The sequence below is a fragment of the Homo sapiens genome, chromosome 8 (genome assembly GCF_000001405.40).
Source record: "Homo sapiens chromosome 8, GRCh38.p14 Primary Assembly".
Taxonomy (NCBI): domain Eukaryota; kingdom Metazoa; phylum Chordata; class Mammalia; order Primates; family Hominidae; genus Homo; species Homo sapiens.
Genome location: NC_000008.11, coordinates 65,939,064 through 65,965,631, shown reverse-complemented (window position 1 = coordinate 65,965,631; position 26,568 = coordinate 65,939,064). Strand labels below are relative to the sequence as shown.

Here is a 26,568-nt window from a genome sequence, read left to right as displayed (position 1 = left end):
CCTGGGTGACAGAGTGAGACTCCATCTCAAAAAAAAAAAAAACTTCTTACCAGTGGAACATTGCGCAGTGGATCACTCTGCGCTTTCCTTTGATATGATCTCTAGCGGCCATGGGGGTGACGTTGATGGCTCGTTTGCACTTGCCTTAGGGGCTAGGCGGAGGAAATTGGACACAATAATGAATTCATATTCAATGCCCAAGGGTGCACCAAGAAACCTGAACTTGAATCTCAGGTTGCAAAAATGCAATTCAAAGAGAACATGATATTCCTTCTCCCCTGGCATTTTGCTGATAGAATTATCAAGCTAAATGGAAGATTACCCCCTACTGTATTACATTCACTTTAAACATCCTCCAATATAAGGAGCAGCAAAACTACAAGTAAAATGATATTACCAGTGTACTTCCTTGATACTACCAGCACAAATGCAACTTGAACATTTAAAATGATATTTGGGGGAGAAAATGGATCCTACGTCTACTGATTACTCCTATAATAAAAACACTTTCTATGGTGCAACTGTGGGTATTTTTTTTCTTACATGAGCAATTTTATAATGGAAAAACACTGTGACCTTAACCTTATGAAAAGTTGAAAAACACAGACACACTTTATGTTGAACGTAAACAAAAATATCTAACTACCAGGCTTATTTCCTGGCCAGTAAGCGTTTGATGTGTTTATGAAGCCTTGTTAAAGTATTACAGCAGCTGTGACTGCATGGAAAGACTCCTTGGGCAGGTTGGTGCATGACCTCAGTCTTAGGTAGTGTTGTCATCAGCTCCTAAAGGGATACTGGCTTTTTATAGCGGCCTGTCATGTTCCAGCTGTGCTTTCCAGAGTGCAGTCATCAGCGTCTGTGTGATTGTTTCATGGACTTTGGGTGATGCTTATTAAACAGTTGTACAGGAAAAATTTCCCAGGTGACTACAAGCACTGTAACATCATCTCTCCTGACCTCTTTCTTTATATATATATTTAAATTATAAAGACAATATATGTTCTCTTTTAATTTGGAAAAATAGAAACAGTATTTTTAAAGAATTTTTTATTGATTCATTACTTCTCACATCCGTTGTTAATATCTTGGTGTATAATCTCACTACTTATTTGTATGCATTGTTAAGGTTGTGTAATCAGACAGAGCACACAATTTTGGGTTCTACTTTTTTTTCAACATTGTATCATCACTTCTGTTTTGTTTTATTTTTTTTTTTTATGACATTGTCTCACTCTGTTGCCCAGGCTGGAGTGCAGTGGTCCAATCTCAGCTCAGTGCAGCCTCTGCCTCCAGGGTTCAAGCGATTCTCCTGCCTCAGCCTCCTGAGTAGCTGGGACTACAGGCATGTACCACCATGCCTGGCTAATTTTTTGTATTTTTAGTAGAGACAGGGTTTCGCCATTTTGGCCAGGCTGGTCTTGAACTCCTGACTTTAGGTGATCCACACCCTGTGTCCTCCCAAAGTTCTGGGATTACAGGCGTGAGCCACTGCACCCGGCCAGTTCTTTCTTTCTTTCTTTCTTTTTTTTTAATTGAGAGAGGATCTCACTCTGTCACTCAGATTGGAGTCTAGTGGTGCAATCATGGCTCACTGCAGCCTCGACCTCCCGGACTCAAGCAATCATCCCACCTCAGCCCCCCAAGTAGCTGGGTCTACAGGCGCATGCCACCATGCCCAGTTACTTTTTAAATTTTTTGTAGAGATGATCAGGTCTCACTATATTGCCCAGGCTAGTCTCGAACTCCTGGGCTCAAATGATCCTATTGCTCCAGCCTTCCAAAATGTTGGGATTACAGGTGTGTAATCCCTGTAAGTGTAAGCCACTGTGTCCAGCCACTTCTGTTCATTTTTAAAGCTATTTTAGTGACTACATATCATTACATGAAGTGTTGGTAGCATAGCTTACTTAACTACCAGCTGTTTAGTTTCTGCCCTCTCTCTAACACACACACTTTCTTCTGCCATTGTAAACAATATTGCAAAGATCACCTTTGTGCAAGAATAATAACAACTTCCAAAAGTAAAACAGGTCAAAATGTGTTAATATTTATGGCTTTTGGGTCAGCATACCAAATTACTTTCCCAAAGGGCTCTGTTATTTTATTTGTACACTAGTTATGTGCAGAGTTCCCAGCTAGTTTGCCACACCCTTCATTGCCACTGGATAGCGTGATATTTTTAACGATGTCTTTAATTTAATAGATGGCTATGGTAGCTCAGGGTTATGATTTTTATCTGACTACAAGCAAAGTCATTTTTCCAATAATTTCATATTTTTTCTCTTATAAATGGTCTTGGTGTGCCCTTTTCTACATTGTCTTAATGTTTTTTTAATTGATTAGCGTGACTTTTTTTTTTTTTTTAGACAAAATCTTGCTCTATCACCCAAGCTGGAGTACAGTGGCACGATCTTGGCTCACTGCAACCTCACCCTCCTGGGTTCAAGCGATTCTCATGCCTCAGCCTCCTGAATAGCTGGGATTACAGGCACATACCACCGCACCCAGCTAATTTTTGTATTTTGAATAGAGATGGGGGTTTCACCATGTTGCCCAGGCTGGTCTCGAACTCCTGACCTCAAGTGATCCACCCACCTTGGCCTCCCAAAGTGCTGGGATTATAAGCATGAGACACTGCGATGGGCTAATTTGTGTGAGTTCTTAATATTTGATGCTTGGTCTCCTATTTGCTGTAAATGTTTATTTTCCTTTTAAACTCATACACACAAAATTTTAAAATTTCACTGTAACCAAATCCATGTGTTTTTCTTTTATTGACTTCTGTTGCTTCTATCCTTAGGAAACTCTTCCAATGCATAAAATGAAGAAATTCAGTTCCACTTTCTTCTAGATTTTCTGTTTTAAAGTGTTTAACTTTGTAAATTCTCTGAAACTGATTTTCATAATGTTGTATAGGTCTAAACCATTTTCCCAATTGCTAGCCAATAATCTCACTCACTTGCCAAATATTTATAGTGTTATATAGTATAGATGTAATTCTTTCATTTGAGGGTAAATCTCTTCTGTTTTATTGAGCTATTTAAGACGTACAGCTGAACTGATTGTGGCTTCTTAATATACAGGCACAGCCCCTATGTCTTTGTAGATAATTTTTTTTTTTTTTTACTAGAACACTTCTTGGATTGTACTATGCAAACTTCATCAAACATACTTATTTTAGCACACTCTTTTTTATCACTGCTTATATAGGAAAATTGTATAATTTTCCCTAAAATTCAATACCTTATTTTAAACTAAACTATGGAGGAAATAAATCTTAACAAAGAATAATAAGAATAAATAATAGTCTTGAGTCAAACAAAATTAGTAGAATATCATACTCATATCATGTCATCATGTGTAGACCATTTTGAAAAGCACATCAAGTGACAGCAAGTGGGATTGTGGCTGAGATACTGCACACAAAGCAACAGTTTGTTAATAACCATATTAAATATTTGGTGATCAGAGAGCGATGTTTGAAATGTTTTACATACTAGCATGATGTTTTGATATATGGGCGTTTGACTGTGTTTTGGATCCAGGTTATATAAATTGATTAGGTGCTCTAGTTTGATATGCCAAGCATATAATTTTTCTCATTTAAAAAATGGAGGGAGGCTGGGCACGGTGACTCATGCCTGTAATCCCAGCACTCTGGGAGGCTAAGGCAGGTGGATCACCTGAGGTCAGGCATTTGAGACCAGCCTGGACAATACGGTGAAATCCCATCTGCACTAAAAATATAAAAATTATCCAGGCCTGGTGGCATGCGCCTGTAATCCCAGCTACTTGGGAGGCTGAGGCAGGAGAATCACTTGAACCAGGGAGGTGGAGGTTGCAGTGAGCCGAGATCGCACCACTGCATTCCAGCCTGGGAGACAGAGTAACAGTCCGTCTCCAATAAATAAATAAATAAAATAATGGAGGGAAAATAATAGGAAATAGGCTCCCAAGGAGTATTTTTGGAGGGCAGTAAGTCTGCTGATCAAACACAAATTACTGCCTTAAGTGGGAGAAACCTGTTCTTTATTATCTCATGGGATTAGAACTGCCACAACATTAATATTCTTTTCTATCACTTGAACTCAGGAGATGGAGATTGCAGTGAGCCTAGAAGGCGCCACTGCACTCCAGCCTGAGTGACAGACTGAGACTCTGTCTCAAAACAAAACAAAACAATTCTTTTCTATGACATTCTTTTTCTTTTTAAACTTGTAAACTGAACTATTGAGAATAAGTCATTTACATGAAGCCCCAAGCCTCCAAATACTTTCATGTATAATTTCTATAAACAAAGCCATTTCTAAATAACCACAATACCACCACCAAAACTGGTAAGTTAATGCTAGTGCACTCCTCTAAACAAACCATAAATGCCCACATTTTGCCCAGCATTCTAATAATGCTCTTTCTAGTCGAAGGATCCAGCCAGAACCACATGTTGCATTTTTGGTGTCACATCTCTTTAGTCTCCTTCAAACTGGAAGAGTTTCTTAGTGTTTCCTTGTCCTTTGTGACCTTGACACTTTTGAAGAATGTCGTTGGGTTTGGGTTTATCTGATGTTTTCTTATAATTAGGTTCAGGTTTTTATTTTTGGCAGAAATGTCACAGAAGTGTTGCCATGTTCCTCATCATATTCTGTCACAAAGAAATCCTAAAAGTTAATTGGTTTCATCCTCCAATGTGTAAAGAAATGAAAGTAAACAAATTCCCTAAAACTAGACAGCATAGCCAATATTTCTCCACTTTGTTCTTGGTTGGCAGTAAATCAAATAGAAGGCTGTTGTATCACTATTAAAGTTAGCTATCACTATTTAAGAAACCACTTTAAAACTTACAGCTTAACAATAACCATTTTTCAGTTCATGGTTCTGTGGGTTGGCAATTTAGGCTGGGTCCAACGGGGTGGGTTCTTCTAGGCCGCTGGGCTCAGCTGACCTCAGCTGGGCTTGCTCATAAGTTTGTGGTCAGCCAGCGGGGCAGCTGGGATAACTCGTGTCTTCAGGCTCCAAAGCTTCCAAGAGAAAGAGCAGAAGGACACGAGCCTCCTGAGGCCCAGGCTCAAAATGGAGACATCACTTCTGCTGCATTCTATTGGCCAGAAGTCATGAGGTCAGACAAACTCCAATTTTTTATAACCAACAATTTTCATGACAGGAAGAGCAAGTGCTTTTGATTAAATAGTGAATTCCAAGTAGAAGTTGTTCTGGTCATCTGTGGCTGTGTAATTAACTACCCTAAACACAGTGGCTCAAAACTGCCTGTTTATTTTGCTCGGGGGTTTTATGCATCATGCATTCTGAGTTTCTTGCTAATCCACGAGGCATCAGCTAGGACTGGAGAATCCACTTCCAAGATAACTCTCACTCATGCATGGTACATGGGTTCTCTTTGGTTCTCTCTCTGCATGATGCCTCCTCCCCCAGGGCCTCTCTGCATGGCCGGGCATCTCACAGCATGGCAGTGTCAGTACAGTCATACTTCTCAAGGGGTAGCTGGATCCCCAAACTGAGAGTTCCAAGGAACAGGAAATGAAAGTTGCCAACTGCCTAAAACCTGGTTCAAGAAACTGGCACGACTTCACTTTGGCCTTATTCAATTGATCAAAACAGCCACAGAATCTAACCAGATTTAAGCAGGGGACCACAAACTTCCCACTTATCAATGGGAGAAGTGTCAAAGAATTTGTGGCCACCTTTGATCTGCCACACTCTGCCCTGTGGTCACAAACAATACTCTCCCCACATGAAAATGTGCTAATCATCTTCTGCAGTCCCCAAAAGTCTCATCCCCTTATGTTACTAAGCTTAGGTTCAAGGTTCCAGATCTCAGGTCCAGGTACAAATAAATCTTCCGTTTGGTTCCTCAAGTGCATGTCCTCTCAATCTGAAATCCTGGAAATAGAGAAATAAATTATCTTCCCCTGACTCTCTCTCTCTCTCTCTGTCTCTCTCTCTCTCACACACACACACACACACATACACACACACACACACAGAGACACACACACTCCAACATACCATGATGGGTGGAAATGTGTAAACACGCCCTTTCAAAAAGGGGGAAAGCGAGAGGCTCAGGGCTGTCACTGCTCCAGAACAACACTGACATTCAGGTAGTGGATGTTGCCAGCTCCTGGATGCAGCCGCGGTCCTGCACCTTTGGTGTGATTCTCTGCTTCCTTTGGTTCTGACCTTTGGGCTCTTGGTTTTGTCCTGTAAGTCAGTCCTCTTTTTCCTTAAGAAATAGCCTGTGTTTTATGCGGAGTAAATTTCTCATCCTGAATCCTGGCTGTATTAGTTTGGGGTGGAGTCCAAGGGCTTTTTTTTTAATTTGATATTGATTCTGACTCTTTCAAGTCCAAGGTGATATAATTTCTTTTAAAACGTCATGGGCTTCTTGTGTATCGAATTATAATCTGTTGTGTTACATAAAAGTCATGGCCACAAATCCTTTTGAGGTAGATTCTTCTCTGCCCTGGGCCCTCTGCAAAGCTGCTTAAAAATGGGGCAATTATCCTTAAGATTATTAGAATCTGTTGTGTAATACAGGGGTCCCCAACCCCAAGGTCACAGACCGGTACCAGTCATGGCCTGTTAGGAACCAGGCGGCACAGCAGGAGGTGAGCAGCGGGTGAGCGCGCGTTACCACCTGAGCTTCACCTCTTGTCAGTTTAGCGGTGGCATTAGAATCTCATAGAAACACAAACACTATTGTGAACTGAGCATGCGAGGAATCTAGGTTACATGCTCCTTATGAGACTCTAACTAATGCTTGATGATCTGAAGTGAAACAGTTTCATCCAGAAAACATCCCCCCACCCCTAACCCCCTCCCAGCCCCAACCTCGTCCGTGAAAATATTGTCTTCCATGAAACTGAGCGCTGGTGCCAAAGAGGCTGGGAACTGCTAGTTTAACAGATAGGCCCATAAGGCACACTCTTAAAATCCTAGAAATCTATTGTCTGGCCAGGCGCACTGGCTCACGCCTGTAATTTCAGCACTTTGGGAGGCCGAGGCGGGTGGATCACCTGAGTTTAGGAGTTTGAGATTAGCCTGGCCAACGTGGTGAAACCCCGTCTCTACTAAAAATGCAAAAATAAGCTGGGTGTGGTGGCGGGCACCTGTAATCCCAGCTACTCGGGAGGCTGAGGTAGGAGAATTGCTTGAACTCAGGAGAGGGAGGTTGCAGTGAGTCAAGATCGCGCCACTGCACTCCAGCCTGGGTGACAAGAGCGAGACTCCATCCCCCCCACCAAAAAAAAGAAAAAGAAAATCTTTTGTCTAGCTGAAAGGGCCCACAAAGCATCAACTTAAATTTTTCGGAAGTCTTATCAAAGGGATTTACAGTTGCAGCTTCGATTTAACTTTTAGCCTGAGTCTTTGTCTTATTGCCCTGGTTTTGATCTCTACCTGGAGGCTACTTCTGGCTTTAAAAATGTTTTCTTAGGCTGGGTGCGGTGGTTCACACCTGTAATCCCATGTAATCCTAGCACTTTGGGATGTCAAGCGCTGGGATTGGCCAGGAGTTTGAGGCTAGCCTCAGCAACACAGTGAGACACCATCAGGAAAACATATGAGAAATAGTCCTATTTGAAGCCAACAAGTCCTGACTGCTATATATTTTCTCTAAATTCTGCTAAAAATTTTGAATAATTATTTCTGATTTCCCCCATCCTTACTTTATCGTGTATGGATAAAAGAACAAGGTGACACTTTTAACATTCTATGTGGAAATCTACTTAGCAAAACCCATCAGTTTATTAGGCCTATATTTTATTTTCCAGAATATCTCAGATGACTGTTTTGCTAAACCTCCTGCTACTATACGATAAGTGTCATGTTCCCGCCGACCCACGATAATGACCTTCTGTCCTCCAGGCTTCATTAACACTTTCCTTGAGGCTTTTTCAGTCTCTGCCCACTGTCCATTCCCAAAACCAATACTATATATTGGCCGGGCACGGCGGCTCACGCCTGTAATCCCAGCACTTTGGGAGGCCGAGGCAGGTGGATCACCTGAGGTCAGGAGTTCGAGACAAGCCTGGCCAACATGGTGAAACCCCATCTCTACAAAAAATATAAAAACCAGCCAGGCATGGTGGTGGGTGCCTGTAATCCCACCTACTTGGGAGGCTGAGGCAGGAGAATTGCTTGAACCTAGGAGGCGGAGGTTGCAGTGAGCCGACATGGTGCCACTGCACTCCAGCCTTGGCGACAGAGTAAGACTCCGTCTCAAAAAAAAAAAAAAAAAAACCCATACTATATATTTTAGATTTTTGTGATGGCAGCACCCCTTTTCTAGTCGTCTATCTGTTCCTGTTATCTATTGCTGCATAATACCCTATCCATCATTTAGTTTCCCCAAACAACTATATTATTTACTTAAAATTTTGGGTTGGGAATTCATGATGACTGTAGCTGGGCAGCTTGTTTCTGATTCATGTGTTGTCAGCCCGAGTCACTGGGGCCGGGTATCCACTTCTAAGAGGGCTCCTATGTCTCACTCATCTGTCCAGCATCTCCATCCTCTTTGGTCTCTCTCTTGCTCCACATGGTGTCTCATCCTCCACCGACTCTTCACATAGCCTTGGCTTCTCACAACATGGTACTCTTAGGGTAGTCATACTTCTCACATAGAAGCTGCCTTTCAAGAGTCAGTGTTCTAGGTAATAGGAAGCAGAAGCTGTCAGTTTCTCAAGGCCAGACACGCCCAGTGTCATTTCCACCATATTCTATCCATCAGACCAGTCACAGAGCCCACCCAAGTTCAAGTGGAGGAGACATAGAGTCCATCTCACAATGGGAAAAGTGTCAAAGATTTTGTGACCATCTTTACTCCACCATAGAGGTGAATCTATGGTTCTCTTCTCTTTAACAGAGCAGGAGATTTGGAATCAGAGCTCTGCCGATATAGTTTGAAGCTCAAATCTAGCCTCTTTCACTGGGGTATTTATTATCTTGGTGCCACTTTCCTTCTCTTATTCTGTCCTTCTGTCTGTAAATATAATGGGTCATATTTCATAATCTAAGATTTACGGCTACATTTATATTAGAATCATCCTGTAGGTCCATGACATAAAATAAATCTGCCATTTAGCTGAGGTATCCATTTAAATTATGTTTATTGTGAGGCTACTGTTCCTCACCATCTATGTACAATTCATTTCTTTTCTTTTTGCAAGTTGGTTGCATTCTTTCTCACAGATACCTGAATTTTTCAAATAAGTCTCCCAAGTCTCACATCTTATGACTTCCAAACTTTCTTTTACCAAGCACAACAATCCTGGATTTTATTAGTCAATCTTGGGTCAGATGATAATCTTTGTACCAGTCAGGTATGATTTGGAGCTGTCGAGTTTTATGATTGGTCCAACTGGGTCCATGTTTCTACTCATAAACCAATCCATTATGGCCAAAGTGTCAAGTAAAGGAATAATAGGGCCCCAGAGTAGTCACAAGGAAGAGACAATGCAAGTTTCAAGGGGAGAAGAAGGTATGATATGGTTTCCTGGGCAGACAGTTTCCTAAATTCCCAATAACCTTGGCATTTGATAAAAACTTCACAAATGTCTGCTTTTCACATCACGGTCCAAAAATACACTCTCAACGTTATAGCTATGTCAAAGGCTGTTAAGCCCTTGGCCATGGTTGCACAGTCAGATAAGCCATTATTGCAATTACCGCATAACTAACTCCCTCCACCACGAAAACTCTTGTGGCTTCTTACCTCTCTGTCTTCAGGCAGGGTATGTCAGCAAGCTGTGGTAAAAGATCAGGCATTTGAGATCCTTCTCTGATAAGCTGGCAAGGAAAAGCTGACTAGCTTATACCATCAGAGTTTTGGTGCCTATCAGGTAAAAAATGAGAGCTTCTAGAAATTATGATCCATTATTGGTACAGAAATACACTCGCCATGCTGGGAATGTAAATTACAGTCAGATTCTACTACTTAAACAACAAACTTCTCACTTGCCACTTACTCAGGAAACATTTATGAAGCCTCTACTAACCTTACTCTCTGGGAAGAGTTTCCTCATCCATTCTTATCTGTGATCACTGGCTCTGTCTTCCAGAAACATTTCTTCAAGAAACGTTTATACGTAAATGTAAATTATATATATATTATATATATATTTTATATATAATAGATATATAATATATACATAGTTTTTTTTGATACAGGGTCTTGCTCTGTCACCCAAGCTGGAGTGTGGTGGTGCCATCTTGGCTCACTGCAACCTCTGCCTGCTGGGCTCAAGCGATCCTCCTGCCTCAGGCTTCCAAGTAGCTGGGACTACAGGCTCAAGCCACCATCCTCAGCTAACTTTTGTATTTCTTGTAGAAATGGGGTTTCACTCTATTGGCCAGGCTGGTCTCGAACTCCTGAGCTCAAGTGATCTACCTGCCTTGGCCTCCCAAAGTGCTAGGGTTACAGGCCTGAGCCACCATGCCTGGCCCATAAATACATAATTTTAATGCAAAGTGATAACCTTAACGGTAGATGTGTAAGGTCTTAGGGTGGGTCAAACAAGAACATCTAATAATTCTGACAGCCTGCACAGACTTCTTTGAGATGAGACTTGAATTAAGTTTTTAAACAATTAGTAGGAATTAGCTAGGCAAAAAAGAGGAAGAAGGGTATTCCAGGAAAGTTTGAATAAAGAGAAGTATCATGCATCGAGCAAGAAACTTAAAATACTTTGGTGTTCCTGAAGCATAAGACATAAGGATGTGAGCAGCAAGAAATGAGGCTGCAGAAGAAAACAGGAGCCACAGCATGAAGAGCCCTGTCTAGTGGGTTAAAGAGACTTAATTTCTATCATACATGGAATGGGGAGCCCTTGCTAAATTTCAGTGGAGAGCAGCACAGCCTGATTTACATCTGTGAAGATCAGCCTGGTTGATACACAGAGGAGTTGATTGCACAGTGCTGGATGCTAGGAGGCCCACAATCAAGGTGCCAGCAGATTATGTCTGGTGAGGGCTGCTTCCTCATAGACAGCTGTCTTCTCACTCTAACCTCACAGGAAGAAGAGACAAGGGGTCTCTCTAGATCTTTTTCAGAAGGGAAATAATCTCATTCATGAGGGCTCTGTTTCAATGATCTAATCACCTCCCAAAAGTCCTACCTCCTAGTATCATCATCTTGAGGGTTAGAATTTCAACATATTAATTTGAGGGGAATACAAACAGTCGAACCATAGTACTTGGGTTTCTGGACCTCCCTGTGATGACCAACACAAGCACATTAAAGGAACCCTTTAAATTAGCTTCGGAATATTCAAGGCTGATTGTGGTGGCAAGGCTGGTGGTGTTGCAGGTTGAAGGGATGATTTCCATCACCCTTCCTAAACATTTGTTGATAGAGGCATAAATGTCTGGGAGAGGAAAGTCATAGATTTTTAAAGTCCTGGCTCATGGTTTTTTGGATAGTAAAATTTAAAGTTTAGTAGGCTATGTAGGTAAGGATACAATACAAACATAAAATTATGAATTCCTTGGGTCTAAGAAAGAGGGTTTTAGTATCTTTTCCTTAAGCTCTTTTATCCAATTTAAAGAGTTATTTAATCCATTCAGAGGTTTCCATGGTCAGGCCTTGATTTGATAATCTGTAGTAAGTAAACACAAATTTGATAATTTGTGTTTGAATCTGCCTTTGACTTCAAGTGAATTTCCTAATTTTATTTTTTGCCATATGTGGTTAATAATAAGCAATAAGTCTCTGCCACATGAATTGCACAATTTGGGGACAATCTCTATTATTCCCTTTTATTCTTACTTACAAATCAAACAATTCTCTTTTCAGCTGATTTCTTTTCTTGTAATTCCTCCATAAATGCAGCCAATGGCAACTAACACATGCTTCTAAATGTTGTCATCCAACCTCTTTCCCTAGAACTGCAAGTGCATTACCTACTACCTTCTAAGTTTTCAAAAGTGATTTACCCAATGTCTTACCACTACTTAAAGTGAATTGCTATCCTTTTAGTTGGTAAGAATTTCCTTGCTACTCATTGCTTGCTCCTGTAGCTAATAGCACCGCATATTTCAGCATATTGTTACATCAGTATATAATACCTTATATCAACGTCTCTATTAGTTACCTTATGTTGCAGCAACAGAGAACCCTAAAGTCTGAGTGTCTGAAAACAACAGAGTCTTACTTCTCACTTCCACCTATGCATCCGCTGCAGATCAGCTGTGCCTATGCCACTCTCCTTAGGGAGCCAGGTGAAGAGAAAGAAGCTCTATCTGTGCTTCCATGCTGACTGGGGCCTGTGCTGTCCAGCTGTCATTCACTAGGCATCTCTGGCTGTTGAATCCTTGAAAAGTGGCTATTCTGAACTGAGAGGTAATTGTAAAATACACACTAGATTTCAAAGACTTAATATGAATATAAAAGACTATAAAATATCTCACAAATAGTTTTTAATATCAATTCCCTGTTGAAATGATATTTTGGATATATTATTAAAATTAATTTTACTTTTTTCTCTCAACCTTTTTAATGAGACTACTAAAACACTTAAGATGACATATATGTCTTACACTGTATTTCTGTCAGAGGATGCCGGCCTTGGCAGAGAAAGGAAAGTATGCCAAAGTCTACAATGGTTCTTAAAGTCTCCACTCCAAGGTAACACATATCACTTCTGCTAAAATTTCTTTGTCCCGAACAACTCACACAGCCCTTCCTAACTTTTTCAGAGAAAAGAAGTATAATTGAACCATATGCATCCAGGAGACCCAGAATAATTTAGTTTACAGCACTAGTGACAACCACACATCCTTTCCTTAAAGAGTTTCACTAATCACACCTATGAAATAGATTTAATATTAAATGTCAGTAAAGGCTGGACCACCATCAGTTTATCATTCCCCACCCTTGCTTTATTCTTTTCTGGCTGAACGCAGGTCTCCCAAGCAGCTCTGAATGATGAATTAACATGAAATAGACATTTCTAGGTCAGGAAAAAGAAACACTTTTACTAATCAATAGTAACCCTGTGACTGGGTACAGTGGCTCACACCTGTAGTCCCAGCACTTTGGGAGGCTGAGGTGTGTGGATCACCTGAGGTCAGGAGTTTGAGACCAGCCTGGCCAACATGGTGAAACCCTGTCTCTACTAAAAACACAAAAATTAGCCAGGCGTGGTGGCACACACCTGTAATCCCACCTACTCAGGAGGCTGAGGCAGGGAAATCACTTGAACCCTCGAGGCGGACGTTGCAGTGAGCCAAGATCATGCCATTGCACTCCAGCCTGGGCAACAAGAGTGAAACTCCATCTCAGAAAAAAAAAAAAAGGGTAACCCTGCTTAGGAGTAGTGATACACATAAATGCTGACCCCTAGGGAAGAGCTGCAGAAGGCAGACCCTTTCAGTGGGGAGCAGAGATGGAGTAGTTTTGGGTGAGTCAAAATGTCATAAAATACATAAGTAAGGAGGCACAGAGACACAAGCACAGGATCACAGGATCCAGGTATTTAAAGCAGTCATGAAACAAAAAGCAGTTTTTCATGTGCACACTATATGTCAGCAGAGGAACTGTGGGGGTGGTGGCTTAGTACAAAGATAGGCCACAAGCTGGAGCTGGGGGAACAAAGCACATGCGGAAGTTATGGGTCTGGGTTGCACAGCAGGTTTGCAAACCTGATGAGGAGCCGGGAGCCCAGATGCATGAACAAATTGAGCTTCAGGGCAAAGTTGCGAATCACATCACTTGTATGAGCAGCACATAAAATGATTGGTCAAGGAAAATAGTGGGAAGATGAGAAACATGTGGCCTTAAGAACTGCAGAGAAAGGCCAGAAAAGTGGCCTGATGCTGCACCGGAAGGAAAGGGGCAGGGCAAAATGAACTGAAGCAGAGGTGCAAAACACCGAAAGGAAACCTCAATGCTGCGGGTTATCTACAGCCGTAAAGAGGGCACTTCCTGTTTGCTTCTTTCTGGTACAGGAATTAGCTCCTGGCATAGTCTGGGAGCTGTGGGAGGCAGCAGGTAAGAGGGGGAATCTGCCAGGAATAGGGAATATTCATACAGAGATAAGAGAAGATCCTCACCCTTTAACATAAAAGGAGTGGAGAATTACACAATGGGGTCTCTGAAACTCACACACCACACTGAAAAACATGTGGTGTCTTTACAGGTGCATATTGGCTTCGGGACTCATTTTCCCTTTAGGATCCATTGTCAATGGAGCATATGCTCATCAAAGAGTGGTCCTGGTAAAATTCTCTTATTCCAGCCTTCCGTGTGATCCAGGCTATACGCTGACAAACTAACTGCTAAGTCAAAAGAGAGCAGTCTGGAAGCATGATTCACCCCAAAGGCAAATCGCAGGACAGCAAATTATCTTCCAAGACTTGGCCAGCAGGGTAATCTCTCTGAAAGCTCATGCTGTAGTTTTGCTTATTGGTTTAGCTGCTTGGCTGGGTGATGATGGCAGTGTTGTTTAGGGTTTCTTCCTTCCTTCCTTTTCTCTTGCCATGAAGATCATTTGGTGACCTAGAGAGTGGGTGGGGAGGGGGCAGGAATCTTATCTGAAAGGTATAGAAGATAAAGGCATGGGGGTTGGGCTTTCTGAGAGGGTGACCACAGTTGGCCAACTTGCTGAGGGGCCATCAGACTCCATGTGAGAGGGCAGAAGTGGACTGTATCCTCTGCACATGAAGCCTAAAGAATGAAGGACTAGGACATGTGTAGAAGACTTGAGGGGAGGAACTGGGGTGAAGGGCCTTCTGCCCTCCTGTTTTTTTACCACATCCTCCTAGAGACCTTTTTCATGCCTGTGGCTCTAAAGGCCATCTGTATGTTGATGATTCCCAAATCCCTACCTCTACACATCTGCCCAAGTTTCAGGTGCGTATTCCAACTTCCCATTGGATGGCTCCATTTGGCTGTCTCACAAACATCTAAAACTCAGCTCCAAAATGAAATGGATTCTCACTCACCCCTACAAATATACTCACCTCTCAGATTTTCCCGGATTACTAAGTGACGCCACCATGAATCAGTCTCTTAAACCAGAAACCTAAGAGTCATGCTGATTCTTCTTTTTCTTACCAATCTTGTTGAACCCAACAGGAAGTCCTACTGATCAACCTCCAAGAGGATGGAGAAATCCTTCATTCCTCCCCGCAGCCGCCACACCCAGGGGCAGCCTCCTGACTGGCTCCCCTGCTTCCTCTTCTGCCATCTACAACCCATTCTCCATACATTTTGCAGTAAGGGTGACCTTGGAATTTCAATTATTCTACTTTATTCTCTCACATCAATGCCTTCATTTCTCACATGGATTTATATATGAGCTCCCTAGGGCCCTACATTCTGCCGCTGATCATACCTCAATTTTTTTTTTTTTAAGAAAGGTTTTTTTTGTTTGTTTGTTTTGTTTTATTTTAACTAATCTTTTGTACTTCGGGTAGAGATAGAGTCTCACCATGTTGCCCAGGGTGGTCTTGAACTCCTGAGCTCAAGTGATCTGCCTGCCTCGGCCTCTCAAAGTGCTGGGATTACAGGCGTGAGCTACCATGCCTAGCCCATGCCTCAATTCTTATCTTGTATCATTTCTCCACCTGGCTCATTATACTTCAGCTCCACTGATTTTCTTTCCACTCCTGTAAAATACCTACCTTAGGGAGTTTGTACAGGCTGTTTTTTTCTAGCTGTAACACCCTTCCTTCAACTGTTTGCATTCTATCTCATTCTTTTTGTTCTACTTTCTCATTTCTTTTGTTCTCACTTTTTGCTGTATCTCATGTCACCTCTTCAGAAAGGCCTTCCCTGAATAGACACCTTCCCCAATTATTCTGTCTCTGACTCTTGCTTATTCAAAGTTCAAATATTCAAAGCATATTTCACAATTTATAATAATGTTTTCATTTAATGTTTTCTTGTTTAAACCACTAGCCACTAGCCAGAGCATTGCATATGAAAGATGTTTATGATTATTGTTTGGTCCATGCATATTACACCCGAATTCCACCATCAATATTGCCTGAAACTCAACTGGTTGCCCAGAGTATGTCTGTTCAGTAGACAGGGTATGGCTGCTGTGCAGGTTACCAAGCAAACTCCAGAAATTGTGCAGGACTAAAGTGGCTAACGTGTCAGAGGAAATTGCTGCATTGCATGAGTGGAAATATTTTTCAGTCTTGCTTTAAGACTTCACCATCAGCCACTCACTCATCTGCAAGCAGGATAGCCCCAAATGTGCTTTAGACTTTGCTCAATACACATCTGATCACTGCATGAGGACACTTCTCTGAAAACACAGCAGGATAGACATAAATTCTAGAGGTCTGCTGGACAACTGGCAGGGTAGAGGATGAGTTTTTAAGTTGTCTTTGGTTCTAGCCTGGGACACACTGGGACACCGTGATCTTGAGCCAGAAGAAACAGTAATTAAACTTTGCCAGTGGCCAGGTCCTATTCATCAGGTTGGCATAGAACTGATAAGACCTGCCTTCCTAAAGGGGCAACTTAAAGGAAGGAGGAGAGTCTGAAGGGTCAAGGATGGGTGAAGAAACATTACCCAGGGCAGTTTGAGAATGTGGAGAGCCCAGAAACAGATGTAAAACTGCATTATGAGGAGAATTAGGAAAGACAGGAACATGAGTCAAGTAGAAATGTTAAGCAGAATCCAACCGTGTAAGGCATGGGGTGGTCCAGCTGGAAAGTTTCTCTGAGAGCTGCCACCACCTCCCACAGCAAAAGACCTGCTCTTGAATCTCCCATCTGGTAGGGTGCCAGAAATTCCACCTGCTCTGCGCTGCTGAAGAACTGTATGCCTAAATGGCCGTAAAATCTCCCTGCAGTATGAAGAATTTGAGAAGTTGCATCAGACTGCTGGCAAGGCACTCAGACAGAAACACATGTCAGGGGGGAAAGGGAAGATACAAGCCGAGACAGGCCAGGCGGCGCTGTGGAAGGAACAGCCACTTGAGCACCAGGTGGAGTGTGTGCCCTCAGGGCCCATGTCCCAAGCCTTGACTCTGTGAAATGACTCACTGAAGCCCATCCCATAACCCTGCAGTGGAAAGATATGCAGATCACAAGGTGATAGTGAGCACTTCCACTGTATTACATTGGGTACTCCAGGTTTTTATATTAATGCCCAGGATTTATATAGAGAGAGAACCAGTTAGTTCATTCACCTTCTGTTGTAGATAGAGAAAGCCAAATTGAAGATAGGAAACTTCAGGCATGAATTAATTCAGTGGCTGAAATCTCCCCATCAAAGGCCAACCCCTTGCCCCACCTTGGGTCTGACTCTGTTCTCAGGTTCTCTCCATATCCAAGCTCTCTTCCTTTGTCTTTCTAATAAGGGAAAGAGCTTTTAAACCTCAGTAGTTCTGGCAAAGATCTCAAGACAAGCTCTGTTTGGACTGATTTAGTCATGTCCCTGTGTCCAAACCAATCACTATGATTGGGTCTTTGGAATACACGGATTGGCCAGGACCTGGGTGATGTGGGAGGAGGCTCAGTCCCACCTGAACCATAGGGACCAAGGGGAAGAGAGTAGCAAATTCCCCAAGGAAACAGAAAACTATCACTAGCTGTAAGAAGGAGGAATGGAGGCTGGAAAAGCAAAAGCAAAGGAGACTGGGATAAACCAAGGTGGGTGTGAGTATGTGGAATCAACACTGAGACATACTCAGGAAAGTTGTGATACTGAGCCAAGTGGAATTGGAATGTGTGATGAATGAGAGGGCAAGGAGTGGACCCAGGGTACAATAAACAGAAGGGTAACTAGGATTACTAAGGGCATGGATCTATGAGCAAGGCTTAGCCCAGGTGGCCCAGAAATCAGAGCCTGTGGCAAAACTTTAATTGCTAATGTTTTGTGGGGGAGTTTCAATCCCAGGGCAGCAAAAGTGAGGGAGAAAGGAAGTAAGGTTGGAAGGAACGGAGGGAAACACAAGATGGGTTGCTCCTTTGTAAAGAGACACTTTACAAAGTGTGTAAGTAGCCTCTTTATAAAGGAGCCATCTCCAGATGCGCTCCCTGAGCACCGTACCACAGAACAGTCCATTGTTGGGAGGGATGGAGAAGCGATTTATGTGCCGTCTTCATTCATCAGTTTGCCCCACAGAGTTAACTCCCATAAACTTCCATGACATCATCTGGCCCCTTCAGTATGTGAAGACAGATGTGTTTAACCTGTGCCTTGGTGTTTCATCCAAGACTCTGGACATTGGCCTCAGGCTGTAGAGTGTGAGACTGGCAGGGAGCTGACTGCAGGGGAGACACAAGCAATAAGGGCCCAGGAGGTAGTGAGGCCAAGCAGCTCTGAGGTGGCACATAGAATGTGTTCAACACAAGGTTCATGTTTTCAATTAGGACTTTTAAAAAACAAATATTAGGCTGGGCATGGTGGCTCACACCTGTAATCCCAACACTTTGGGAGGCCGAGGCAGATGGATCACTTGAGGTCAGGAGTTTGAGACCAGCCCGGCCAACATGGTGAAACCCCATCTCTACTAAAAATACAAAAATTAGCCAAACATGATAGCATGTGCCTATAATCCCAGCTACTTGGGAGGCTGAGACAGGAGAATCGCTTGAGCCCAGGAAGTGGAGGCTGCAGTGAGCCAAGATTGTGCCACCACACTCCAGCCTGGAAAACAGAGCGAGACCTTATCTCAAAAAAATAAATAAATAAAAATAAAAATAAAAACAACTATTAATACTAGCCCAGCACTTGGTACATTGTAGGCCCTTGATAAACATTAGTCTGTGAATAAATGAATATGTGCAAGGCTTCATGCTAGGAACTTGGGATACAATAACAAGGAAAGCATAGATTTCAGACACATAGTCACTCAAAAGCTCTGGGGTCAGTTAGTTCATTTTGAGGGGAGCTCAGCTATGCTGAGGGCAGGCTGGACTTTGGAAACTTGCAGTCCTAATTTGGGTTCCATGGTGTAATCACTTAAACATGTCCAGATAATGGAATTTTGGGGGCTGCCTGAGGAGCAGAAAATTATTTGCAAGGTATTATATAATGAATATATGATATCTATATCTGTGGAGATAAATATATGATATTGCAGATGGCATATCACTCATACTTTTTTGAGATTTTATTATTAAAATGTTAAACCACAACCACTCACACCTACAACAACTGTAATTACACAGCACTTATATGTCCCAAGCCCTGTTCGGAGTGTTTTGCCTGTGTTAACTCCTCATTTAATTGTCACAACACTTTTGAGATAGTGCATCACCCAACAGGTGGTTTTCTTAGACTCTACCAGATGTTCAGACTTACAAAGTGACCACAGGCCACCAGCCTGTTGAGAAGGATGTAAGACCGGAAACACAGCTCACCCCAGGGCAGCTTCAGACTGTTCCCTTCAATGGCAGTTGGCAGTTTTGAAGTCGTCCAACAGCTCAGGTTCAGGGAAAAAAGATCCACAGGGGGTAAGTGCAGGATTTACTCTGGCCTAGAAGCCTCATTCTCCACCAGACTAGAGCAGTTTCAGGTTTCAGAAAAAGTGAGTGGAAAGTACAGAAATTTCCCATATACCCCCTCAGCCCTATATGGGCACACAGATTCCCCTGTTATTATGTTAACGTCTTCCATTAGTGTGATATATTGTTTTACTTGATGAAACAATGTTAATAGATTATTATTAACTAAAAGTTCATGGTTTACAATAGGATTCTGTGTGTTGTACATTCTACGGATTTTTCACAAATGTACAGTGATATGTAACCAGTATTCTAGTATACAGAGTAGTGTCACTGCCCTAAAAATTCCTTGTGCCACACCTATTCATCCTTCTGATCCCCCTCCCCCAGCAACCACCAATCTTTTTACTGTCTCTACAGTTTTACATTTTCCAAAATGTCATCTAGTTAGAATCATACAGCCTTTTCAGAATGGCTTCTTTCACTTAGTAATATGCATTTAATATCACTGCATGTCTTTTCATGATGTGATAGCTCACTTCTTTTTAGTGCTGAATAATATTTTATTGTCTGGATGTATCATGGTTTATTTATCCACTCACCTATTGAAGGACATCTTGGCTGCTGCCAAGTGTTGGCAACTATGAATAAAGCTGCTATAAACATCTGTGTCCAGGTTTTTGTGTGGACATACGTTTTCAACTCATTTGGGTAAATACAAGGGAGTATGATTGTTCGATTATACGTTAATCTCTCCTATAGAAATTTTTTCCTTTTCCTATTTCTATGTTTCAAATTTTTAAAAAGTATGAAATGAGGCATATATATATATATATATATATATATATATATATATATATATATATATAAAAAAGACTTGTATAGGTACAGCTACAAGGATCCTGCAAAGCACAGGCCCAGTTACCAGGGTCACCATACTCATGGCAGCCCAAAGCAGGGCATCCCCATCACATACTTACAGTTCACTTCTAATTCCCCAAGTTCAGATGCAATTTACTGATTAGGGTTCATTCTTATCATAAACAATGATGCTGGTGATATAGTTAACACTTCTACTTTTTCCAGGCTACCAGGACAGAACTTGCATAGTCAACCAATGTTCAAGTCTCCCAGAGGAATAACAGGTTTTGTTAAACTCTTTGTTCACAAATAGGTGCTTTCATTATCCCTATTTTTCCAGTGAAGAAACTGATGCACAGAGTGTCAGGTAACTTACCAAGATCACATAGTTCAAGATCACAGAACCAGACTCAGGCATTTGGCTCCAGGATCTATGCTCATATGTGCCACATTGTACTGCCTCAAGCTTTATTTTCTTTTCTTACAATGGAGGCAGTGTTTATATAAATAGGTCCTGGGTTAATACCCCTAGAATATTAAATGATAAACCTGTGGCCACTAAATTTGCTATAAGGCTGATTTTTATCTAAGGTCTTCTCTATTTCTGTGCCCTGGGGGAAATTTTTCAAAGCCCCTAATTTCCATGGGGTGGGGAAGTCCCCAGGATTTCTGGGAACTTATGCCCTCTCACGCAGTCCCCTGCACCAGAACTTACTGTCTCTACTTTCTCACAAAAATTCTGATGCAGAATTTGGCCAGTTTTTCATGAGATTTGATTTTCACAAGAAATCCAATCACCTCAAGCTTTTTGTCAAATTTTCTGAATGTTCATAGGGTCATAGAGAGGAGTTACCCTGTGCCGTTCATAATATTCCACCGAACATGGCATTTCTTCATGTCCCTTGTTCTCTCTTTCCTGTCTCTCCCTTCTCCCTCAGCCCCACTCTAGTTGCAAACACATTTCTCCATGTCTCCTTCCTTCCTCAGAAGACCTACAGAGACTTATTTCTCTTAACAGCCTTCTCAAGGATCTACCCATAATAAAGGTGAGCCCCCCTACCCCCACCCCAAGAGAAACCTATGTAGCATTTGCCATATAGCATTTTTCTTTCTCGTTATACTGTGATAGAGTCAGCTGCTCAATAGTCAGCTCTAATAAGGCTCTTGGGGGCTCTATCTGATATCAGCGATGTAATCATCAGAAATGTGTTACTAAAGATCTTTGTTTAGTGTCTATTACATTCTTATATTCTACTTTTAATTTTCCTTTCAGTACAGCCAACTAAATGGTAGAGAGAGCAGTAGCAATTTTGTATTTGTTATTTAGCTGGGATCACACTTTTCTTGTAAACCTCAAACTCTGCAGCCCAAGAATCATTTTATCCAGTTGCTCTACTCTGTGTCATTGAATGCTCATTAAGTCAGGATATAAAGGAGCTTCATTTACAATACTTGTCTTTGTTAATATTTGGCCACATCTGCAGTTGGCAAATGAACAGACTGAAACATTTCTTCTCTCTTTCTTTTACTAATATTTTCAAGTTTCCCATGTTATGTAATTTAGGTCAGAACTAAAATTTCCTGTAAGACCTTGTATTCACTAGGTTTTAGTTCAATTCAACTCTGCAAGCATTTTGAATGCCTGTTCTTTGCAAGGCACCATGCTAGGTAATGGGAGAGGTGCCAGGATGACTGTTGGTTTGTCATTGACCTGGAGAAAGCCTAGTAGAACAGGAAACATGAACCCAAATCACTGTGACATAAGGTAGATTATAACCACCCTAAGAGAAAGGTGCAGATCTTGTGTTATGGGATTTTAAGAGGAAAGAGTGATCACATTCAGTTGGGAAGATCAGGAGATAGCATTAGGTTTGTCTTTAAAGACCAAGTAGAATCTTGAGGGACTGGAGTGTTGAGGAGCATATTCAACAAAAGCAAGTGCCTAGAAGTGAGAAAATAAGGGACACAGTGAGAAATCAGCAGGATGGGCTTAGTGTGATAAGTGGGAAAGATAGGGCATATTTGAAGGATGTTGTCTCTAACCAGGTGCAGTGTGGAAAATCTGCCTTAAAATAGTGAAAATAGTTGAGGCTGGAAAGCCTTCCAGTCTTAAAGTTACAAGCAGTCGGGTGAAGGCTAGAATCTACCATTGGGGCCAAACTGCTAAGTCGGTTTTTTACAAACATAATTTCAATGGGCCTTTTAATTATGTAGGTGTAAGGGCAAGTACTCACTATTTTTCTTAAAGAAAGTCGAAATGCAGTGCAGTAACCCAAATGCAAATGCTCTGGACAGTCTATTTAGTAATGTAAATTGGGTATATCTTAAGCTCAATTATGTTCCTGCAGAGGTATAAATTTTTTCCCCTCAATCTAGATTTAGAATTTATGTCTGAAAAATGCTGGTTGTTCTTGGGAAATGTGTGTATGGGTTCTTGTCCTGCATTTGTTTATAGGAGATCAGGAATGAAAACAGGGCTATATTAGGGTTCATGTGAAAGACCATTCTGCACTTCACCGCATGCTGGAGAAAAGGCTGTAAAGGAATTGCATCTGGCTTGGGGCTGTGCTTCCAGGCTGCTTCTGGTTATCCCACATTGCTGTTACATAAGACTGGACAGCCTAACTTTAGTCAGTGTGGTCTGGGAGGACTGGACTTGCTGAGTCACAGAAGCCTAATTCTTTAGAGGTAGGTTAGCAGGTAGAGGGAGAAGAGTCCTTAGAGTCATTCTTCCTGGGAAGAAAATCCTTCCAAATCAGGAAACAAAGTGGTCACTGGCTGGGGTAGAGAATGATGTTTTCCCCTCTCCAGGCCTGGGGATCTGTTGGATCCGAACTGTCTAGCATGGACGTCGCGGGAGCACACGTGCTAGAGTGAGCCAACCCCTCCACATGGAGGCAGGCCAGCGTTAAGGCAGAAATCACTCTATTTAAAGACTCTCAAATGGTGATTTAGGATGTGGGCTTGAAGAGTAGCAATGTTTAGCAGCAGTTTGACATTATTCTTTGTATTACACTTGTGTTAACCTCAAGCCCTGAAGTTTTATGTAAAAGCCACAGCCTGGCCTGAGGTGTGCCGCGGGCAATGAAGAAGCACCCATCTAATGGCCATGGGGCTGCAGTGCACTTTCTCTGAGGCATAAGAGGATTGAGCAGAAATAGCTGGGCTTTCTTTTGCAATGGAGGAGCACAGTGGCCACCACGTGGAAAGCAGGGACAGCGCCAGAGAGAACCAAAGAGACCTGCTCCAGATCGCACACGAGGCAGTGTCCAGGAACTCCACAAAAAACCTGGCAAAATACCCAGCCAAACGCAGCTGAAGGACATTCTACACACAGGCTGGTACCCCTCAGGAATGTCCATTTCATCAAAGGAACAGAGAGGGTGAGGACTATTCCAAGGAAAAGGACATGAGAGGCATGACAACAAAATTGAAGGGTGTGATCCTGGACTGGCTCTTGGATCAAAAAAATAAATGCCCTAGAGGACATTTAATTATTGGCATAATTGGTGAAATTTTCATATGAGGTGTATGTTGGGTAATAGAAATGTGTATTGCTGTTAAATTTCCTGAATTTGTTTATTGAATTATGGTTATGTAAGAGAAAGTTCTTGTCCTTAGGAGGCATTTAGAAGTATGATCAGGTATTTAAGAGTGAAAGGTCAGGGTCATATTGTGTGAAAGTTATTTTCAAATGGTTTAGCCAGAAAGTTAATAATGGTTGTGTGTGTGTGTGTGTGTGTGTGTGCATAGAAAGAGAGAGAGAAAGGCAAATGTGGCACTAAAGAACAATAATTTCATGAGTAATTACTCAATGCATAATAATTTATTATCAAAAGTGTGACTTTAGTATAGAAAGTAGACTTTATTTACATGTATCAAATGGTATATCTTGGTAAGGTCTGCACCATATACATCATGTTCATAATCCTTAACATTCAGAGGCACTTTGATAATCATGCATAGCACGTAGTAATGCATCCCTTTTTCTCCATCTTGTAATGGTGATTTAGATGTACAGTTTTCTAATTGCTTGTTTCTTATGTTATGATGGAAAACGGATGTGTTGTTTGGCATGATTGCTTCACTTGCTACCCTGAAAATACATTGACTTCAATCATTTTTGGCATCCCTAACACCTAGCAATGTCCTCCTAATGGTGGTTAACAAACAAATCTACTGCATGGATTGAATAGCTGTATAAATAGCATGTAAAGGGGTCAATGAAGTACCACCACGTTAAGAGATACATAGCACGGGCATCTCCTGATAAGATCAGTGGACAGACGCCATCTAGAAACATCTCTTTCCACTTGTGTGCCATGGTATCCTCTTTAATCCAGATTCACAGCTGACTTTAGACCTGGTTCCTCTATGACTTGGAGACACTCTAGTCTTATTCCTTCCTAGTAATGGATCTCAGCAAATGACTCTCCTTCTGAGCACTCCTTGTTTTTGGCATTTGCTAAGTCCATTAGTTCAGTTACAACCCTTGAGTAGGTAAAAATTTTGACCTTCACCATCCAGTTTATTCCCTAAAGCAGACTTTTCTGTTAGAGACCACACTGAATCACATGTCAAGCCTATTACAAATTATTGACCAAAACACAGAATTCTTGACTGGAAAGAGATAACTATCAAACCTTCCTGGTTGGGAATGTATCCAGTGGGAGACACATGTTATAGGCAGAATAGGCAGAGTAGAATGGGTACATGTTAGCCAAAGCCAAAAAAGAGTGTCTGTACATTTTAAGGACTATAGTCATCTTTTTGCTTTTCCTCCTGTTTTTGAGGTTGCCATAAATATGCACATAATTCAAAATTCCTTAAGTATCAGGGAGTATTTGTTAACTTACTCTCCTCCCAGTATTCTTACATTATCAAAATTACATCTTAAATATGATTTAGGTTTTTTTGTTTTTAATTTTTTAATTTTTTTTTATTTTTACAGTCACATAGTAGGTACATTTTTATGCGGTACATGAGATATTTTGATATAGGCATACAATGTGTAATAATCACATCAAGGTAAATGGGGTATCTATAACCTTAAGTATTCATTATTTCTTTGTGTTAGAAGCATTCCAGTTACACTCTTTTAGTTATTTAAAAGTGTACAATAAGTTGTTGTTGACTGTAGTTATCTTGTTGAATAAAGATCAAATACTAGATCTTTATTCATCCTATCTAACTATATTTTTTGTACCCATTAATTATTCCCATTTCCTTCTCCCTCCCAAAGTGTGATTTGATTAATGAATAAACAAATGAGACTCCAGGCCAAGAAGTGCTCAGTTCTAAGTGTCTTACTCCAATGTATTATTGATTTAAATATGACCATCCATTTCATAAAGAAAAAGATTAAGGGCAATAAGGGTAGTAATTCATATTCAGAGATGAAGAATACGGCAGACATAAATTCTTACTTGGCAGCTGTTAAAAAGTTAATGGATAAAAAGAAAAAACAACCAGTCATTTTCTATTTCACCTTGTTTTCTCCCTAGGTGATGTTTATCAGATTCTAAAAGCTCAAACAAAGGCTTTGGTTAAGTCTTGAATGAGAGAGAATTTTATGAGAACCCCTAGCTGCCAGAAACACTGACATAATTGAGCCACTATCTGAAATTGTTGTGAACAAGAAGCTAAGTATTGCGTAAGGGTGGGCAAATGGGAGATTCTGAGTAATAGAAAGACATTGTTAATACATTTATTCAACAAAAACTTTTTGAGATCCTTCCTATAAAGAGAAATTAGACATGGTTCCCAGAGAAGGGAGACACTCAACAGATAATACAGTAAAAATTTGGAAAGTGTAATGATACTGATTTGTATAGGACATTATCGGGCAACCAGAGCTGTTGTTATCAGCATGGGTTTGTAAGTCAGACAGGCTAGAGGATGATACTGGCTCTGCCACTTACAAGCTATGTGGATCTGGAAAAATAATTAAACTACTGTGGCCTTCATCCTCCATCTGGGAGTAAAATCAATTCCATAGGCTTGTGGTAGAAATTCAGTGAGATAATATAAGTAAAGCACTTAACACAATGCCTAGCATAGGGGACACACTCAATAAAATAATAATTGGGAGTTATTATTATGTCTTTGACGTATGTATTGGTGATGTTAATCCTGGGCAAAATTCCAAAACTGATTGTCAAATAGAGCTTTTTTCAGCATCTAAAAAGAAAGCATGTGATCACTGACAGCTATAGTGGGTACATTAACAAATCAGCTACAATTAACCTCATTTCTTTTTTAACATGGTTACCCCC

At 41.3% G+C, this 26,568-nt stretch overlaps 1 long non-coding RNA gene across 1 annotated transcript, besides 5 other annotated features; it reads left to right on the top strand.

Moving 5' to 3' along the window:
- Positions 1-13,906: 13,906 nt before the first annotated feature.
- On the top strand, positions 13,907-25,577 carry LOC107986950 (uncharacterized). Its single transcript, XR_001745947.2, has 2 exons — positions 13,907-14,011; positions 23,105-25,577. It is a non-coding gene; the product is annotated as an uncharacterized LOC107986950 (long non-coding RNA).
- Positions 14,139-15,338: an enhancer, noted in NCBI's record as "MED14-independent group 3 enhancer chr8:66862529-66863728 (GRCh37/hg19 assembly coordinates)". NCBI's record gives its function as "activates an origin of replication core promoter dependent on BRD2, BRD4, P300/CBP and CDK7 cofactors, and independent of MED14, by STARR-seq in HCT116 cells {active_cell/tissue: HCT116}" and the evidence as "EXISTENCE:reporter gene assay evidence [ECO:0000049][PMID:35650434]".
- Positions 16,704-16,853: an enhancer, noted in NCBI's record as "active region_27469". NCBI's record gives its function as "activates an Ori minimal core promoter by ATAC-STARR-seq in GM12878 lymphoblastoid cells {active_cell/tissue: GM12878}" and the evidence as "EXISTENCE:reporter gene assay evidence [ECO:0000049][PMID:35858748]".
- Positions 16,994-17,093: an enhancer, noted in NCBI's record as "active region_27468". NCBI's record gives its function as "activates an Ori minimal core promoter by ATAC-STARR-seq in GM12878 lymphoblastoid cells {active_cell/tissue: GM12878}" and the evidence as "EXISTENCE:reporter gene assay evidence [ECO:0000049][PMID:35858748]".
- Positions 17,104-17,233: an enhancer, noted in NCBI's record as "active region_27467". NCBI's record gives its function as "activates an Ori minimal core promoter by ATAC-STARR-seq in GM12878 lymphoblastoid cells {active_cell/tissue: GM12878}" and the evidence as "EXISTENCE:reporter gene assay evidence [ECO:0000049][PMID:35858748]".
- Positions 19,367-19,596: an enhancer, noted in NCBI's record as "active region_27466". NCBI's record gives its function as "activates an Ori minimal core promoter by ATAC-STARR-seq in GM12878 lymphoblastoid cells {active_cell/tissue: GM12878}" and the evidence as "EXISTENCE:reporter gene assay evidence [ECO:0000049][PMID:35858748]".
- Positions 25,578-26,568: the final 991 nt, after the last annotated feature.